The 18,765-nt window shown below is 62.6% G+C and overlaps 1 protein-coding gene across 21 annotated transcripts in view, besides 2 other annotated features; it reads right to left on the bottom strand.

Moving 5' to 3' along the window:
* Positions 1-18,765, bottom strand: part of FBRSL1 (fibrosin like 1) — a 95,038-nt gene that overhangs the window by 44,796 nt on the left and 31,477 nt on the right. For 20 of the 21 annotated variants that reach the window (XM_011534812.3, XM_011534807.4, XM_005266176.5 and 17 more), the window contains 2 exons: positions 14,570-14,659; positions 12,405-12,440 (listed from right to left, as the gene is read on the bottom strand). In XM_011534812.3, the coding sequence (XP_011533114.1) occupies positions 12,405-12,440; positions 14,570-14,659 (126 nt within the window). Of the gene's footprint in view, positions 1-11,839; positions 11,931-12,404; positions 12,441-14,569; positions 14,660-18,765 lie in introns of all 21 variants that reach the window. The other variant, NM_001382743.1, reaches the window with a different exon arrangement.
* Positions 1,349-1,848: an enhancer, noted in NCBI's record as "H3K27ac-H3K4me1 hESC enhancer chr12:133115131-133115630 (GRCh37/hg19 assembly coordinates)". NCBI's record gives its function as "activates a minimal SCP1, AML or CMV promoter by ChIP-STARR-seq in naive H9 embryonic stem cells {active_cell/tissue: H9 hESC(naive)}" and the evidence as "EXISTENCE:reporter gene assay evidence [ECO:0000049][PMID:30033119]".
* Positions 1,849-2,350: an enhancer, noted in NCBI's record as "H3K27ac-H3K4me1 hESC enhancer chr12:133114629-133115130 (GRCh37/hg19 assembly coordinates)". NCBI's record gives its function as "activates a minimal SCP1, AML or CMV promoter by ChIP-STARR-seq in naive H9 embryonic stem cells {active_cell/tissue: H9 hESC(naive)}" and the evidence as "EXISTENCE:reporter gene assay evidence [ECO:0000049][PMID:30033119]".

Raw genomic sequence — 18,765 nt, 5'->3', positions numbered from 1 at the left:
AAGGCCGAGGGGAGGTGGCACCTGGCGGGAGGGACCTGGGGTCAACTGAGAGAGGGCTGGGGGCAGGACTGGGTGGGTGGGGGCACGGGGCTGGGAGACTGGGCTGTGTGGGCATGGGGCTGAAGGACACGACTAGGTGGATGGGGGCTGGAGGGCAGGACTGGGTGGGTGGGGACACGGGGCTGGAGGGCAGGACTGGGTGGGTGGGGGCAGGGGCTGGGAGACTGGACTGGGTGGGCATGGGGCTGGAGGGCAGGACTGGGTGGGCATCGGGCTGAAGGGCAGGACTGGGTGGGCACGGGGCTGGAGGGCAGGACTGGGTGGGCACGGGGCTGGAGGGCAGGACTGGGTGGGCATCGGGCTGGAGGGCAGGACTGGGTGGGCATCGGGCTGGAGGGCAGGACTGGGTGGGCACGGGGCTGGAGGGCAGGACTGGGTGGGCACGGGGCTGGAGGGCAGGACTGGGTGGGCATCGGGCTGGAGGGCAGGACTGGGTGGGCATCGGGCTGGAGGGCAGGACTGGGTGGGTGGGGCACGGGGCTGGGAGACTGGGCTGTGTGGGCATGGGGCTGAAGGACACGACTAGGTGGATGGGGGCTGGAGGGCAGGACTGGGTGGGTGGGGACACGGGGCTGGAGGGCAGGACTGGGTGGGTGGGGGCACGGGGCTGGGAGACTGGACTGGGTGGGCATGGGGCTGGAAGGCAGGACTGGGTGGGCATCGGGCTGGACGGCAGGACTAGGTAGGCATGGGGCTGGAGGGCAGGACTGGGCGGGCACGGGGCTGGAGGGCAGGACTGGGTGGGCATCGGGCTGGAGGGCAGGACTGGGTGGGCATCGGGCTGGAGGGCAGGACTGGGTGGGCACGGGGCTGGAGGGCAGGACTGGGTGGGCATGAGGCTGGAGGGCAGGACTGGGTGGGCATCGGGCTGGAGGGCAGGACTGGGTGGGTGGGGCATGGGGCTGGGAGACTGGACTGGGTGGACATGGGGCTGGAGGGCAGGACTGGGTGGACATGGGGCTGGAGGGCAGGACTGGGTGGGCATCGGGCTGGAGGGCAGGACTGGGTGGGCATCGGGCTGGAGGGCCGGGGCATGGGACTGAGGCTTCCTGGCCCACCTGACGGCCAGCTCCTCCCTCTCTGACCCTGATCCTAGCATAGACACTCTCCGCCCGCTCCCCAGGCCTTTCTTCTCTGGAGACTGGAAGAGCAGGCGCCTGGAAAGAGCTGCCATGGAGCCCGAGGGGTGGGGGCCGGGCAGTGTGTGGGGATGCGGCTCACACTGGGCTCACTTGCAAGTCGCCACAGACCCACCTGCTGCCGGATGGGGAAACTGAGGACTGAGTGCATGGGAGCCCACCAGGGCACAGACCGGGGGTGACTGGGTGGGTTCTGAATCCTGAATCCAGGCTCTGGAATCTGTGGCAGAAGCCCTGGAGGCCACTCTCACCCTCCGGTCAGGGCCCCGCCACACTGAGGCCCACCTTCCTCTCGCTGTCCTGGGAGGTGGAGGCACCCTTGCAACCTGGTTACACAAGATAACCGGGTGGTGGGTCCTGAAGAAAAATGCTATATTTGCTTACTCAGCAAATTCAGTTTTTATGAGTATTTAGGCTTCAAAGCACAACAAAGCACTAATTACCCAATTAATGAGCAATTAACAAGCAATCAAGTCACTGCAGCCAACAGCCACAGCCTCCAGGAGCTGCAGGTGAGTGAGGCTCTGGAGCAGACACGCCAGAGCCGGACTTGCCTGTGCACCCTCCCCACAGTGCCAAGGCCCCATGGGCTGTGCGCCCGCCTGCGAGGGTGCCTCCCGGTGGGGGCTCAAGCCCTCAGGAGAGGCTGTGCCACGTGGCGGCCCCGTGGCCATCACTGCCAGGGAAAGCTCTGGGCTCTGCGTCGCCCACTGGAGGCCCCCACTCAGTGCACCTGGCACAGTCCGTGCTTGCCTTGGGCCTTGCAGGACTCAGGCAGCCCTTGACCTCCAGTCCAGGCCCGTGAAGAGACAGCTGGGGATGGGAAAGGGGAGTGGTGGGGCTGCAGGGCTGGCACCCCTGCCTCTGGCCCCAGGATCTCCCGATGCATTTCTGAACTTTCCCTGAGAGCTGCCAAGGGAGCAGGCCTGGAGAGCCCTGCGTCGGCGAGAACGTGGGGCTGGAGCCCTGGTTAGAAGGACAGGCAGCTGGAGAACACACCCTCCCAGGCCCCTTCCGTCTCAGGACCTCCTATGAATCAAACTAACTCCCTCCCAGGCCTGGCCCCAGGGACCGGCCCCTGGGTCACAGGGCCTCAGCCCAGCCACACCCAAGCTCACTCTGACCAGGGATCTGGGTGAGCCCGTTCCCCCAATGCTCTTCTTCGAGTCCCAGCCAGTCTGGCTCCTCCTGGCACTCAGGGCTCTGCGGCCCCTCCCCCGAGCTCTCCGTGCAGTGGTGGCCACTGCGCCTGCACACGAGTGTGGCCAGCTCCTGCTCAGGACCCTGATCCCACCCAGCGATGATCTCCGATCAGCTGCTTATTTGTTATCCATGGTCTTGTCTGTTGAGAACATGGATCCTGTTCCCAAGGATCCATGGGGTCCACTTAGCTGGAGACATAGCAGGCACACGTGTGGGCGGCCTGGGCTCTGAAGTCCGCATTGCCTGTTGCCCCACACTGTGGTTGGAGGGGACAAAACTATCCTCGTGGGGGCTCCCAACTGTCACAAAGATTGGGGCACTAGGTGCTGGGGGCCAGTCCTCAAGGGAGCACTGCCCAGCCCCAATACAATTCCAGAACATTCCATCAGACATGTGCAGAATTAGACACCTGCTTAGCACCACCTGAGCCTTGGGTCTAAATGCTTTAAAATGCACAAAATCACCTTTAATTTTCTCAAGTCGCGACTGCCACAAATAGGAACATCTGGACTGGCATTTGCACTGCGACGCCCTGGGACACGGGCCAGGGAGGACCCACCACAGCTGCCTCTGGGTTCGGCCCAACCCACACACTGGACAGGCTGGACTGGCATTTGTGCTGTGACGCCATGGGACGTGGGTGGGGAAAGCACCCACCTCAGCCACCTCTGGGCTCGGCCCGACTCACACACTGGACAGGAACAGTCTCACTCTGAACAGCTTTCCATTCTACACCCGAGTGCCACCTCTTCCTGTTAAGTACATGTCCCTGGCCACACACTCCGTGGGCTTCACACCCACAGCAGAGGGCACCCACCACACGACAGGGCGGCCATCCCTAACCCTCTGCCCTCACATCCTGTCGAGCGTGGCCACCTGGGGCCCCTGTGCTCTGGCCCTCCAGCTGTCTCCACACAGCAAGGGGGTTCCTGGTGACAAGAGCTGGCCACCAGCCGCTTCCACTCTACCCCACCCCACGTCAGCCTGAAGACCCCCGAGTGCCTGCAGAGCCCCTGGCCTCACTGTGATCGTTACCACACAGGCATGGCACAACATGATCACATATACATGCATGCAAAGACACCGTTACGTACACACATGTGCACAGCCACATACATTTATGTACACACGTGCACTCACATGCAGTCATGCATGCACATGCAGTTATACGTACGCATGTACACATAACAATACACTTTCACATACACATGTGCACTCACACACACCATCATATACACATGGCACACACACCTTCATGTACACGTATACTCACACACACTGTCATGTACATCATGTACACGTGCACTCACACGTCATGTACACATGGCATGAGGTCATGTACACGTGCACTCACACCATCATGTACAATGCACTCACACACACACCGTCATGTACACGTGCACTCACACACTGTGATGTACACATGGCACACACACTGTCATGTACACATAGCACACACCATGTACACATGCACTCACACCATCATGTACACGACACACCTTCATGTACATGTGCATTCACACACTGTCATATACACATGCACTCACAGTCATGTACACATGGCACACACACCATCATGTACAGAATCATATTGTCATGTACACATGGCACACACACCATCATGTACACAATCATATTGTCATGTACACGTGGCACACACACCATCATGTACACATGCACTCACACACCCCGTCATGTACACATGCACTCACACACCATCATGTACACATGGCACGAGGTCATGTACATGTGCACTCACACCATTTTACACGTGCACTCACACACACTATCATGTACATGTGCACTCACACACCATCGTGTACACAGTCATGCACACGTGCACTCACACACCATCATGTACACATGGCACACTGTCATGTACACATGCACACACACACACCATGTACACACAGAACACACTATCATGCACACGTGGCACACACACTGTCATGTACATGTAAACAACACACCATGTACAAACATCCACGCATCATGTACACGTGCACTCACACCATCATGGACACACGTGTGCTCACACACCATCATGGACACATGTGCACTCACACACACCATCATGGACACACGTGCACTCACACACCATGGACACGTGCACTCACACCATCATGGACACACGTGCACTCACACACCATGGACACGTGCACTCACACCATCATGGACACACGTGCACTCACGCACACCATCATGGACACACGTGCACTCACACTGTCATGTACACGTGCACACATGCAGGACTCCTAACCGCTGGCCCTGCGAGCCTCCCCTCTGGGTCTCTGCTCAGTGGCTTCTCTGGGGGTTCCTGCACCCGCTGGGCCTAGTGTGCTTGGGGCACCCACAGCCTCAGCCTCACTTCCCCATGCACCTCCTGCTCTCTGATACTGGCTGCATCTGCTCCTGTTCCTCATCTCTCTGGGAGAGCTGGGATGTGGCAGCCAGTGCCCCACACACCTGCGGATCAGCTCCGCTCACCTCTTCACACCCAACCAGCACTGTCAGGGAGCCAGGCTGCAGGCCCCATCCCGCCTCAGAGGCCTCACCAGTGTTTCTTTCCATCTCTCCCTCTACGTCCCCACAGCGGATGGCGTGTGGATCTCAAATCCACTCTCCTTTTTCTCATTAGTGTCCCTCCGAGCACAGCTCCGGCTGGGCCAGAATAATTAATGAGCCTGTGTCAGGGAATGAATAAAAGATGGCCCCCTGGCCCCAAGCACGTGGCTGACCTTTCTTGGAGCCGACCGTATTAATATATTCTCGTGTTGTCAGGCTCAAAGTGCTAACTGCCTCATGAATTATTTATCAACACAAAAAGTCTTAACCAGAAACAGTGTTAACATTAATTCCTAACCCCCGTGTCACAGCAGCCCGGCCTGTTCTCATAATTGGATTTCAGCTTGATGGGCACCCCAGACTCTGGCCTGGCCCTCTCCAGCAGGGCTGTGCGCCGCCACCTTCACTGCCTGTGCCACCCTCCTTGGTCAGGCATCTCCCTGCCCTGTGGGGCTGTCCTGCCTGGTGGATGGCTGTGGCCCCCATACCTGGGAGCGCTGCAGGGAGCTGTGGGTGGGGTGAAAGGCGGCACTCATGAGGCCCCTCCAGGCCAGGGTCCAACCCCTCCCCTAGAACCTGGGCTGGGCTGGGGGGCTCTGACCTGCAGAATGTGCTGGAATGGTGCTGCCAGCCTGGCTAAGGCTCTGCAAGGGCTGGCCACAGCTGCCTGGGCCTTGAGCCACCAAGGCCCAGAAGCCAGGCACGTCAGCAAAGCCACCCTGAACCCTCCACCCAGCCCAGCCACCATCCCCAGGAGACCCCAGTGAGCACAGTGCAGCATGGAGGAGCCACCCGGGCTGAGCCTTGCTCAATTCTGACCCACAAAACAGGAGATAAAAGAGCGCGTGCCCGCTGCGGGAAGTGAGCCCTGTGTGGGCACATGTGGGGCAGGGAGGTGGCGAGGAGAAAAAGGTGGACAGGGAGGGGACCAAATCCATTGGCCCCATCTGGACCCCGCCCTGGCAGAGGGTGCGACAGGTGCAGCTGATGCCTGGGCCTCGGCTTCCGCATCTGCAGATGGAGGCGAGGTCTCCTCATGGACCTCACCTGTTTGCAATCAAATACCACAGGTGGAGGAGTCAGATGATCTAAATGCCATGGAGATGAAGGTGTTCTCACACGCAGACACTCCCTTCACCTGGGGCCCGACAACGCACGTGGCGTCCCACCCTCCCGCAGCCCATGGAGGCCAGGACTGGAGTGGAGGCGGACGGCAGGATGGCCACCTCCCAGGACCCCAAGTCCCTGCTGCCCCCATGCTGACCTCCCAGGGCTGAGTGGTGGTGCTTGGGCTGCTGGAACAAACCTGGCCTGGACCCTGCCCCTCTCAGCACTGGGTGGGTCAGCCCCTTTGTCACTTAGCCTGGGGTGGTGGGGGATAGTGGTACTATCTGCACAGCCTCCCATCCTCTACGGCCCAGCTCCCCTGCACCCCTCCCTGTTCTCTCCCACAGTGGCACCCACCCGCCTCAGGTTCTGCACACACAGGCTTGCCCCTACTCAGACACCCTGGCCTGCCCCTTCTGAGATGCTGCCCTGACCCCGGCCACCTTCCTTCCGACCTGGCAGCTGCTGCTCTCTTTACTGACTGGCTCCTCTCCCCTCTGGAATGGCAGCTCCCTGGGGGCAGGGACCCTGTGTGACGTGCTCCTCACAACCCAGTGCCTGGCATGGAGCCCAGCCCAGAGTCAGGCTGTGCTGAGGCCACTGCCCTCAGGCACATGATCACTGTGGCATGGACGGACAGATGGGTGGCAGACGAGGGACAGGTGGTAAGTGCATGGATGTGGGTGGGTGCAGATGGACAAATGGGTGAGCAGATGGGTGCGGGCTGTGCCCACCATGGGGCGAGGACATGGCTCAGCCCCCACCCCTACGGTACCCACACAGCAGCCAGCCTGAAAGACCCTTCTATGCTCAGAGGTTGGGAGGAGACTGTGGCTCTCTGACTCCAGGGAGAGGCTGGGTCGGGAGGAGACTGTGGCTCTCTGACTACAGGGAGAGGCTGGGTCGGGAGGAGACTGAGGCTCTCTGACTCCAGGGAGAGGCTGGGTCGGGAGGAGACTGTGGCTCTCTGACTCCAGGGAGAGGCTGGGTCGGGAGGAGACTGAGGCTCTCTGACTCCAGGGAGAGGCTGGGTCAGGAGGAGACTGAGGCTCTCTGACTCCAGGGAGAGGCTGGGTCGGGAGGAGACTGTGGCTGGGTCGGGAGGAGACTGTGGCTCTCTGACTCCAGGGAGAGGCTGGGTCGGGAGGAGACTGCAGCTCTCTGACTCCAGGGAGAGGCTGGGTCGGGAGGAGACTGCAGCTCTCTGACTCCAGGGAGAGGCTGGGTTGGGAGGAGACCGTGGCTCTCTGACTCCAGGGAGAGGCTGATGGGTTTTTATTGCTTCTGTACAAGTTGTGGCTGCTCAGAAGAGGCCCAAGGAGCCCCGTAATGAGTGTCACAAACCTGCCTTGTAAAGACAGCGCCTGTATCGGGCCCTGGCACAGAGCGAGGGCAGCGGGACCCCAGCGGCTGGTGGGCATCTGCAGTGTCCCACCTGGCTGGGTCTCTGCTCCTCCCACCCACCTCCAGCCTCCCTGTCCCAGGCATGCCCCCAAGCACACGGGGTGGGCTCCTTCCTCAGGGGCCTCAGGGCCTCTCACCGGCCCCTCTGTTCAAACCTATGCCTGCTTCGGCTGGCCTGGCCCCCCCTCCCACCCTCCTGCACTGCGCTTAACACCCCGCCTGGGACAGCGACTCCTTGGCTTCCCTTACCCAGGTCTTTCCCATCTTTCTCCCTGTGTGCATGCCCGGCCATGGACACGCTCAGCACACATGGGCTGGAGGGGAGGCAAGGGGACGGATTTCTCCACACCTCAGTTTGTGCAGGGTGGGCATCTGTGACCCTGATGGAGGACCTTGCCAGTGGGGACAGGAAGGGCCTGGGGGGGCTGTGGCCAAGTGGGTGCTACTGGGGGCAGAGTAGGGCATGTGGGCATAGCCAGGCAGATGGCTCTTCTTGATGGGCACAAGGGGCTGGGCAGCCGCATGGAGGAGAATTCTGGGTGGGCATGGCCGAGTGGTGAGGGAGGTCTGAGGGTCTCAGCTCCCAGTCACTGAGGTGGGGGGCCCTGTTGGCCTCTCTGGGCCTGTGATCCTGTCTGGAGAACGGGATGATCTGGTAACTAAATGCCGTGTGCAGGGTGAGATGGGTCCCTGAGGCCTGGGCCTCACCATGGGCTGCCACCACCACCCTGCAGCTCACCCAGCCCCTCACTCTGGCTCCTGCTGGCCAAAGGCCCCTCCAGAACATTCTGTGCATGGGTGTGGGAGGGCAAGCCAGGGTCCTGTGCCGGCAGGAATGGCTCCAACCCCAGCAAGCTCTTGTGGATCCTCATTCTGTCTAATCGATCCACTAGCCCCCTGCCACGCTGGAGTCAGTCACCACATCCTTGGGTGGAAGCAACTCTACCTTACAGCACTGACGGTGGCTGAGAAGGCCAAACCACACACTTGGGGCACAAGCTGCTGAGGATGAGCAATAGCTGGGGCTTTGCTGGCCACCAATGTGGACAAAATTACACCACTCTAAGGATGGTTCATAAAACCAGACCAGGTGATGAATGCCTGTGCCACTCAGCAACACGGGAGGCTGCTGGCCTGGCTGTGCCTTCTCATTAGGCTGGAGGCCCCAGTCACAGGCAGGTGGCAAGGGGTGCACACGTGCACAACACGCAACGCCACGTGCACAACACACAACGCCACGTGCACAACACACAACGCCAAGTGCACAACACGCAACGCCATGTGCACAACACAATGCCACATGCACAGCATGCAAACACACAAACACAGGTCACACACACGCGGGTGCACACACACACACACACGCACACACAGAGGCCCAGAGAGGAACCCGTGACACTGTTCTACAAGGCAACGCACAGCCCCATGCAGCCCACCACACGGGGGTACCACGGACACGAGCTGCACACAGGACAGGCACAGACCTGCCCACACGCACATGCACACATGCACGCACACACACATACACACATGCACATGCACACACACGCCCACACACACATGGCAGCCTCAGCCTAGGGAGCAACCCAGGAGTCTGAGGCCTCAGGGAAGTCCCAAACCCCCACTAGTGGGTCCCAGGCTTCAGCACAATCCAGACCCTCGCCTGGGCCCCTCGCCTGCTCCTGGGTCCTGTCCTGCTCCTGGGTCCTGTCCTGCTCCTGGGTCCTGTCCTGCTCCTGGGCATGCGTCCCATGGGACCGGTTCTTGGTCCTCCACCCCTGGGGTGGTCTGGCCTCCACCTGCCTCCAGTCCTCAGTGCCGGGGAAGAGCACTTCCAAGGAGGCCAGGCACCTCCCTGCTCTCTGCCTGGAGCCTGGGCTCTCACCTGCACCCCGGGCTCTCACCTGCACCCCCCCCCCCACACTGGACACAAGGGGCCCGCAGGGCTGACAGCATGGGCAACTGAGGGCCACACTGGACCAAGGCCCCGGGTGCACACCTGCACATGGCAGGGCCCATCTGTATGCACCAGGGTCTGAAACAGGTATGTGTGTGCTGGGGCCCAGTGCACACGCACAGGACCCTCTGCAGCCCTCAGGGTCCTCCCAGGCTCCTGCGGCTTGGAGGGGAACCCCATCCCCAGTGCAGCAGGCCAGCCCCTCCCCCCTTCCCCCTCCCCCCACCCCCCAGCCCCACCCCCCACCCCGCCATCTGTCACTTGTGTGCCTCGGCTGTGGGGGTTAAGCTGCAAGCAGCTGGCAAGTTAATAACGGGCTTTCTCAGGAAACACAGAGTGCTCTGGGGAGAAGACTTGAATAATGAGTGGAGACCCAGAAGCAGAAGGGCACCCAGTGGCTCAGGGCAGAGAGACCCAGGTGCCCTGGGGACCTCAGACCAGCTGGGGTGGCCACAGGAGGTGGCCACGTGCACACCTCACCAGCAACAGGGGGCAGAGCCCACCTTCCAGAGCTTAAGACCCGGCCCTCCCCCTGACCCACAGTGAGCCGACAGGAGTCCTGCCCAGCACTCGGAGATGTCACTGACACTCACAGTCTGGCACCTATGTGGGGGCCACAGTCCTCCTGCCCATGGAGTCTGCATCAGGACACCCCACTTGACCCAGGTGCCTCCCAGCAGCCGGAGCCAGGTGGCCTTAGCCCATTTCCACACTCTGACCCTGAACACGCACACCAGGAGCTGGTCTGTCAGGACACTGCCCAGAGAAGGGCGGAGGAGTGTCATCAAACTCATGATGATGGGAAGGGCGGAGGAGCGTCATCATACTCATGACGATGGGAAGGGCAGAGGAGTGTCATCATACTCATGATGATGGGAAGGGCGGAGGAGTGTCATCATACTCATGACAATGGGAAGGGCGGAGGAGTGTCATCATACTCATGACCATGGCTGTCAGGACACCCACAGCCACCTCTGAGGGGTTGCCCCCGCGCACAGGTGACAACAGCAAGGCTGCCTGAGACCCCATGCAGCACAGGAGGAAGGAAACCCTAGGAAGAGGGCCCTTGGGCAGGCAGCTGCTCCAGGAACCACTGCCCAGAAGTGAGCTCCAGCCACCCCAGGTCAACAGCTCACGGACTCTGGGCCAAACCAGGTGAGAGGCCAAAGGCAGAGCCCAGGGTGGCAGAGCTGAGCCCAGGGTGGCAGAGAAGAGCCCAGGGTGGTAGAGCCCAGGGTGGCAGAGAAGAGCCCAGGGGGGCAGAGCCCAGGGGTGCAGAGCCGAGCCCAGGGTGGCAGAGCCAAGCCCAGGGTGGCAGAGCTTAGGGTGGCAGAGAAGAGCCCAGGGTGGCAGAGCCCAGGGTGGCAGAGAAGAGCCCAGGGTGGCAGAGCCGAGCCCAGGGTGGCAGAGAAGAGCCCAGGATGGTAGAGCTGAGCCCAGGGCTTTAGACAGAACCTCAGGTGAAAGGGCAGCCTCAGGGGAGCTGGGGTGGGGGTGCAAAGGGCCTGGCTGAGCCCCTGCTGTGACCCAGCCAAGTGGCCAATTCCTGCCCATGAGGCTGGGTCCAGGGATCCTGGGGTCCACTCCTGGCCTGTGGCCGCGCCGCCCATGCCGCTCCCTTGCCGCTTCCTGCTCTGCCACCAGCAGAAGCTGTGGGACAGAGACAGTGGGGGGCCGTCCCCACCAGGCTGTGTCCCCTCTGGCCTGGCCACACTGGGTCATTCCTGGTTTAATTACACACCCTATAAAAAGCTGCTGTGGTTTAGTGAGGGAGCCTCTACGGCCTGGAAATTTCGGGGGCTGCAGGGATGGGGTGGGCAGAGTCCAGGCCCCCACCCTCCCACGAGCCCAGCAGGCCGTCAATCTGTAGAAATGGCTTTTATGGAGCTCTGGGTTTTATGTTGTCATTAATGTTCCTCCTGATACTTAAGGGAAAATGAAACACAGTCATGAGGAGGGCAGGGGACAGTGGTGATGGGGGCCGGGGAGATGGTGCTGGGCCTCCAGGTCCGGGGGGCAGGGGTCGGCGCCCAGCCTCCCAGGCCATTCCCACAGCAAGTCCAGGCACATGTGCAAGGAGCCCTCCACCGTGCCATGTGCACCCACGGGGAGGCATGGCACACCCTGAAACACACCCGTGTACCCACGGGGAGGCACGGCACACACTGAAACACACCTGCTTCCCCCGGGCACACCCTGAAACACACCCGTGCACCCACAGGGAGGCACGGCACACACTGAAACACACCTGCTTCTCTCAGGCACACACTGAAACACACCCGTGCACCCACGGGGAGGCACAGCACACACTGAAACACACCCGCTCCCCCGGACACACACCCGCTCCCCCCAGGCAGACACCCGCTCCCCCCGGGAAACACACCCGCTCCCCCTGGGCACACACCCGTCATGAAGGCTGCACACAGGTCTCCTTCCCCCTGCCCGCCACGGGGTGCTGGCTCCCTGGGTGTTGCCCAGCCTGGGCCCAGGCCTTTCTGTCCGGGGTGAGGCAGGTGCCGGTCAGGGCATTGGAGGTGGCTGCTCACACCATGGGCACCTCCCACACCAAATGTCCCAGGCCCCCAACAGGACCCCAAGAAGCAGCCCGGCCTTGGCCCCGCGGATCCCGGCACCCTTAGCTGCAGCTGGGGTCTGTGCAGGCTGACTACTCTGAGGCTCCTGGCAAGGCCACAGCCACAGGGCCAGCCCGTCCCCCTGGGGCAGCATGTTAGCCTGGGGGCCCCCTGGCAAACCGTGAGCAGGACGCACCCCCAAATCTTCACTCTGGAGCTTGTCCACCCCCCACCAACCCCATGGTGTTTGAGGCCAGAACCAGTCTGGGGCTCCAGAGGGAAAGCGGGCACGGGACTGGGGTGAGCTAAGTTGTGGGGCCTCGGACAGGTGAGGTGGGGACCTGGTCCTAAGGCCCCAGGGGGACAAAGATGGAGGAGGGGTGCTGGGAGACTTACAGAGTAGCCTCTCCCCGAGACCGCATGCGCAGAGCTCTGCAGGAAGGAAGAGGGGACAGTCAGTGAGGCTGCCACTCGGAACAAACTCCCAGGGATGCACCCGACAGCTGCCCTGCAGCCCTCAGCCCTTAGCCCTGCCCCGCAGCCCTGCAGCTCACAGCCCTGCCCCGCAGATCCACAGACCCGAAGCCCTCAACCCTGCCCGGCAGCCCCGCAGCCCACAACCCTGCCCCACAGCCCCACAGCCCTCAACCCTGCCCCGCAGCCCACAACCCTGCCCCACAGCCCCGCAGCCCACAACCCTGCCCCACAGCCCCGCAGCCCACAACCCTGCCCCGCAGCCCCGCAGCCCTCAACCCTGCCCCGCAGCCCCGCAGCCCTCAACCCTGCCCCGCAGCCCCGCAGCCCTCAACTCGGATGGGGACAGGTCCAGATGCCCAGACCCAAGACCACCAGCGAGACATCCTCTCAGGCAGGGGCCACGAGGGCTGAGGCCGCAGGGAGGAGGACAGAGTTAGGCGTCGTGGTGGGGTCCTCCCCAGGGGCTGTCGTCCTCCTGAGGGGCCCAGCCAGTCTGAGGCTCCCCTGCAGCAGCTCTGGGATCCAAACCCGAGGAGGCTCCCACAGGGACGCCCTTGGCTAGCTCCCTGTCCCCAAGAGGGAAGGCCCCACCAGAAATGCTCCTCAGAGGAGGCAGGAAGACCTGGGGGAGGTCAGCCCAGGGCCCCAGCTTCTGCTGACCTCCCTCCGTGCCCACCCGCCAGAGGGGTCCATGGTTGCAGGACTTTGGGGAGGGTGCCCTGGCTAGACAAGGAAGGCTTCCGGGAGGAGGTACCAGATGGAGCCCTCAAAGGAGGGTTCACCACAGGGGCCTGACAGGTGGTGGGGGTTGGGGCTGGGGGATGGTAGCTGGGGGCCCCTCAGACATCAGGGCACACTCTGGTCTGCAGGGGCAGCTAGGGGCCCCCCACACCTCTGGTGGGGATCCCTCTGGCCTGCAGGGGCTGCTGAGGTCCCCCACACCCTTGGATCCCTCTGGCTCGAGTGGGTGTTGTGAGGTCTTCAGGACAGAGGTATGGATCACACCAGCTACACACTCAGACCACCAGGGCCTCCCCCAGCAGGAGGGGTGGGGAAACAGGCTCAGGGCTGCTGTAGTGGATGGGGTGGGTCACTGAGCTGGGCAAGTGGGGCTCACAGGGAGGGTCCAGAGCCCCCTGAGGAGTGGGGGGCAGATGCAAAGATCCAACACCCCCTCTGAGGGGCAAGGCAGAGGAAGAAAAGGAGGGCTTTGGGGCCAGCTGACGGCAGTCCTCCACTCTCCCAAATCAATCCACAACCCCCACTGCAGAGTCAGGGAGGACACCCCCTCCCCTTCCCAAGACAGACCCTTGCCGGGGACAGGTCAGCTCCTGAAGGGCCCCAGGATGTCAGGGGACAGAGCCCAAGGCCCTGGGTCCCGATGGGCCCACCCGCCAGCTCCCAGCTGCCAGAGGGGTGGGAGGGCCTTCGTTGCCCTGAGTTTGAGCCTCAGCCCCAGCTGCTGCATTGTGCCCAGAATGTGACTTCCTTCACCAGGGGCTGGCAATTAGAGGACAAACCAAGGCAGCGGCAGTCCCAGGTAATTCCCAGCCTATTTTCCTAACTTGTGGCAACAAGATGGGGAGCCGGGCAGTGAGGCCTTCATTTAAATGATAATGAGATGCCTCAAGTTCCAGTCAGCAGAAACCTCCCCACTGCCCCGCCAGTGCCCATCTCAAGACTCGGCGGCCGTCCGCCTGCCCTCCACCCACAGGCCAGCAGTGCAGGCACAGCGTCCAAGGCTTAACGTTTTGGCCTCTGGGCTCCTGCCAGCTCACTCACCATTTCTTCATTTAAATCTCTCCTAATGGGAAAGTCCTAATGAGTAAAAAATCACGCTTTAACGAAGGCAAAATGCTCATTGCTAAGACAAAGCCTTGGTGGGAAACCGGACCCTAACCAGCGGCTTCCTGGACGCCCTTGTGCAGGGTGCAGCGGGCAGGGGGCCCAGACTCGGACTGGACGCCCTTGTGCAGGGCACAGTGGGCAGGCGGCCCAGACTCGGACTGGACGCCCTTGTGCGGGGCGCAGCGGGCAGGCGGCCCAGACTCGGAGCCTCCGGGCGCGGGCAGCTGGGTACTCACATCGCTGAGCGGGTCCCGGGAGCTGGTGGCTTCGAGGACGCTGTCGTCGTCACTGTCCCGGTCGCCCCCTTTGGACACGGTGACCTTCATCTGGGACAGAGAGAGACACTGTCTCAGGCAAACCCCCACCTCACCGCGTCCGCATCGGGGCCCCCTGGCTAGGGCTACATGCCTGCTCCCGGCACCCCAGCACCCCGGCCCCAGGCGCCCCGACAGCCGCTGGGCGCTTTGGGATGTGACGAGCTGTGGTGGGCTGGGTCCTGGTCTGGGGGCGGGAGCAGCAGCAGGACAGAGCTCTGCACAGCCAGGAATGCCATCCCAGCTGACAGCGCACACACTGATAACACACTCTACCAGGACGGGGAGGACCTACCCAGGACCCACCGGCTCAGTGACACGAGAACCGCCACGTGCTTGGAGCCGCCCCTTCCACAAGCCGCTGACTTTGAAGGCATCCTGGGGGTGCTAGGGACCACAGGCAGGGCCTCCACCCACACCCTGGCTGGTTCGCACCACCCCATCTGGCTGTACAGGGCTATGACCTCCAGGTCGAGCCTCAGTGCCACCCACTGTCCCCTGGCTGTGCCCACAGCACCTCCTTCGGTCGGCTCCATGCCAGAGCAAGCAGCGAGGTGGTGGTGGGACCTGCCTGACCCTGGCCATGGGCCCTTGGGCCACTGCTCGGCCTCCCCGTGCCTCAGTTTCATCACCTGCTGAAGGGAGCACCCATACTCCCTTCACCCCACCCCCACGCCCCACGCCCACCGCCACCACCCCTGACACCAGCCAACATGGGCGCCGATGCGTGCCAGGGCCTGGCCCGGGCGCTTTGCACACACTCACACATTTGCTCACACGGTGGCCCCGAGTAGAAACTATTTTCCTTTACATTTCACGGATGAGAAAACAGAGGCGCAGACAGGTTAAGTGACCATGCAGGGACCAGACCCCGAGCCCTGCATGTATTTACTTTTTTTACTTGGAAATAATTTCAAACCTGCACAAAGCTGAGGGAAGTGAGAGGCCAGAGCTCCTGCTGGCCAGCGCCCAGCAGGGACGCCCCTGCACAGCCAGCGCCCAGACTCACGTGGAAGCCCAGCGGTCTCCCTCTCTGGCCAACTTGGATCTGGAACAATTCTGCACCTTGTAGTGACACGCCCCAGCACATCTGGGCCCCCAGGCCTCGCATGCCAGGGCCCCTGGTGAGGTTCTTTACTTTGAGTCATCCAAGTCAGGAGCACGCCCCAGCCCGGGGAAACCCGTCCCAGGACTGGCTGGTGTGGCTCGCTGCAGCCATGAGCCTGGCTCCCTGCCGACCTTCGGCTCAGCCAGAGGCCCGCTCTGTGCACCTCCTGCAGCAACAGGCCTCCCTGGGTGGCTGACAGGGTGCACACAAGGCAGACGGTGCCAGTGCGAATTAAGGGATGTCACCCAGGCCCCTGAGGTCAAATGCCCCCGGCCCATGAGGTCCATCAAGCCGCACAGTAGCAGGCACCCACACTGGAGGAGGCCCTGGCCGGGCAGGGATGCAGCCCCGAGGAGTCTGAGCCTTACTGGGCGGGAGCCGGGGGCAGGGTGGTGGGCTAGTGACCTGCTCAGCTGCACAGTAGCCCTCACAGGCCCTGGCCAGGCTGCCCGGCTCTTCCTGGCACTGTGGCCTCGGGCAAGCGACTGGCCTGCCCCAGCCTCAGTTTCGGCATCTGTAACTGTAACATTCGGGAACCCTGGCAGGGCCCCTCGGTGCAATGAGGTTTAGGTGGAGGCACGGCCTGTGCAGCAGAGCCCGGGGCCGGCACCTTCCAGGCCACCAGGGGTCACTGTTGTCACCAGCTGGACTCTCACAACCTCTCCTTTCTCACCCCCGGAGCTGGCACCACGGTCCCAGCTGGGCAGCCCTGCCCACCGGGTCCCACACTTGCTGCCCTGCTGGGGCCATCAGGGGTTCTGTCCACCTCTGCAGGAAGCCACGTGTCCCACTCCTAGCGGTTCTCAACGCGGGGTCCCGGGAATGCATCATCGTCTCCCAGAGCCTGCAAGGAATGAGTTTCCAGCCCGCTCCAGGAACCGTGTATCACCGGCCCCCTGGGGAGTCTGACCATTGGCGATGGCCCCATGAGCCCTGCACTCACTTCTAGGGACAGAGGCTCAGGGCAGTACCTGGCAGCGATGGGAAAGGCTGCCACAGGGCTGCTGAGTATAGTGGTGCAGGCTGCTCACTGCCCAAGGACACCTGGCCGATGGGAAGGGAGGTGGGTCGGAAACACCCACACAGCTGAGCCGTGAGGAGTAGGGCACCTCTCTACACTTCACACCCACACAAAAGCCACCTCCGGTCAGGGCTGGGCGCAGATGGAACGCGTCACCCCCATGCCACAGAGGGGCTCGGTGGGCTGCCCTGCGTGTGCTCCTCCCAAACCCGGAGGCCCTGAAAGGTGGCCAGGCCGGTCGTGGGGTGGGGTCTCTTCCCCTTCCTCGGGTGGCCGGTTTTAGCTCTGAAAGTCCCACGTCTCGAAAAACCCTGTAGAACTGGGAATCTGTGTCCTGGTCACCCCACTCTGTCCCCAGGCAGGACCTCAAACAGCCAAGGTGGCTGCCCTCAGCCCAGCCGCTTCTCAGTGCTGCCAGCCACACCAGGGGCCGGGGAGGCCACACGTCCACTCCCAGCAGGAGCTGGAGGGACAAGATCACAGTCCCTGGATGACAAGTCCACGTCTGGGGCCAGAGGGGGCCCCTTTTGCCCTGGAGGGTGGGCAGGAGCTACTGCACCTGTGCCCACCCCAGCCTTGTGGTCTGCCCACCTATCTGTCCACCCGTCCAACCGATGCTTATGGAGCCCTGACGAGCCAGGTACCGTTCTGGGCAGTGAGCAGAGCCGACCCAAGCCCCTGCCCCCCCTAGAGTGACAAAGGAGTGACTGTTCCCAGTGCACACAGAAGGTGGCTCCGTCTGCCAGGCGGCAGGTGCGGGGGGAAAGGCAGCGCAGGCCGGGGAGGGCCCCGGACACAGCTCACTGACGGCACCAACGGCCCAGCACACACACTGCAGCCCTGAGTTGCCCTCCTCACAGGGCACCCTGCTGCTCCACCAAGCCTGTGCTTCCTGGGGTGGGGAAGGAAGGCTGAGTCTGTCCAGTTATGTCAGCAGGTGGGGCGTGCAGCAGGAGCAGGGCAGGAGGAACAGCTCCCTGTGGGCCAGCATGGAGCGCCTGTCAGTTTCTGTGACGTCAGTATCCAAACCAAAGCTGATGGAAGCCACTAACAGTTTAACAGCCGGCTTCAAATTTCCTGAACCCTCAGCAACCTGCTCCTACAAGCTGCACTCCACTGGGCAGCCGCAGACCAGCCGCTGGTGGGACCAGGAGCACTGGGGCCCTGAGGGTTCTGGCAGTAACCGTAGGAACATGGTGGCTCCAGGCGCACAGAGCCCCTCCCCCAAGGTCCCCTCCCCTCACCAACCCCCTCCCTCCACACCGTCCCCCAGCTCCAGGCTGCACGTCCAAAAATCACTGCCTCTGGGTTGCCCACAGAAACATGGTTCCACTGGGAGGCTCGGGCTCAGTCGGGGGCTCAGGTGCGGCCTGGCCTGTCCGGTTCTAGTGCCCTTGAGCTGTCCTGTTGCTGGGAAGGGGCCAGAGAGACGGGAGCCAGCAGTGGCCCCGCCATGCAGCCAGGAAACCCTCTAGGGTGCACGGAGACCCGCAGGCACACACACCACCCCAGGCTGAGGGGCCGCGCCGGCTGCACACAGAGACCCACGCAGACCCACAGGCGCCGGCAGGCTGAGGGGCCACGCTGGCTGCATACACACACCCACACCCCTCTCTACCACAGCAGTCACACTGGCCCTGTACACACCTCACCCCATGCACACGGACTCATCGCCCCACCTGCTCCCCAGACCCGCCCCAAGGCTCTAAGCACGCACTGTCCTGCGCAGGCCCCGCCCAAAGTGGAGCACCCAAGAGGCCCCACACCAGCCCCCGTGTCCTCTTGTGCAAACTGAGCAGAAGGTGCCCTCCCGGGGAATGTGCAATGGTCAGGGCAAATGCACGCACTACATACGGCACGGTGGGAATGGCAGCCCTGGAGCGGTGCAGTGCACAACTCTGACAGCCATACTCTGCAGCCCTGGTGAAGTCTCACACCAATCGGATCACACCAGGGCGACTCTCACACCCCATCCCATGGCATCACATT

Source organism: Homo sapiens, chromosome 12, assembly GCF_000001405.40.
Source record: "Homo sapiens chromosome 12, GRCh38.p14 Primary Assembly".
Lineage (NCBI taxonomy): Eukaryota > Metazoa > Chordata > Mammalia > Primates > Hominidae > Homo > Homo sapiens.
This window is presented reverse-complemented; position numbering and strand designations above follow the sequence as displayed.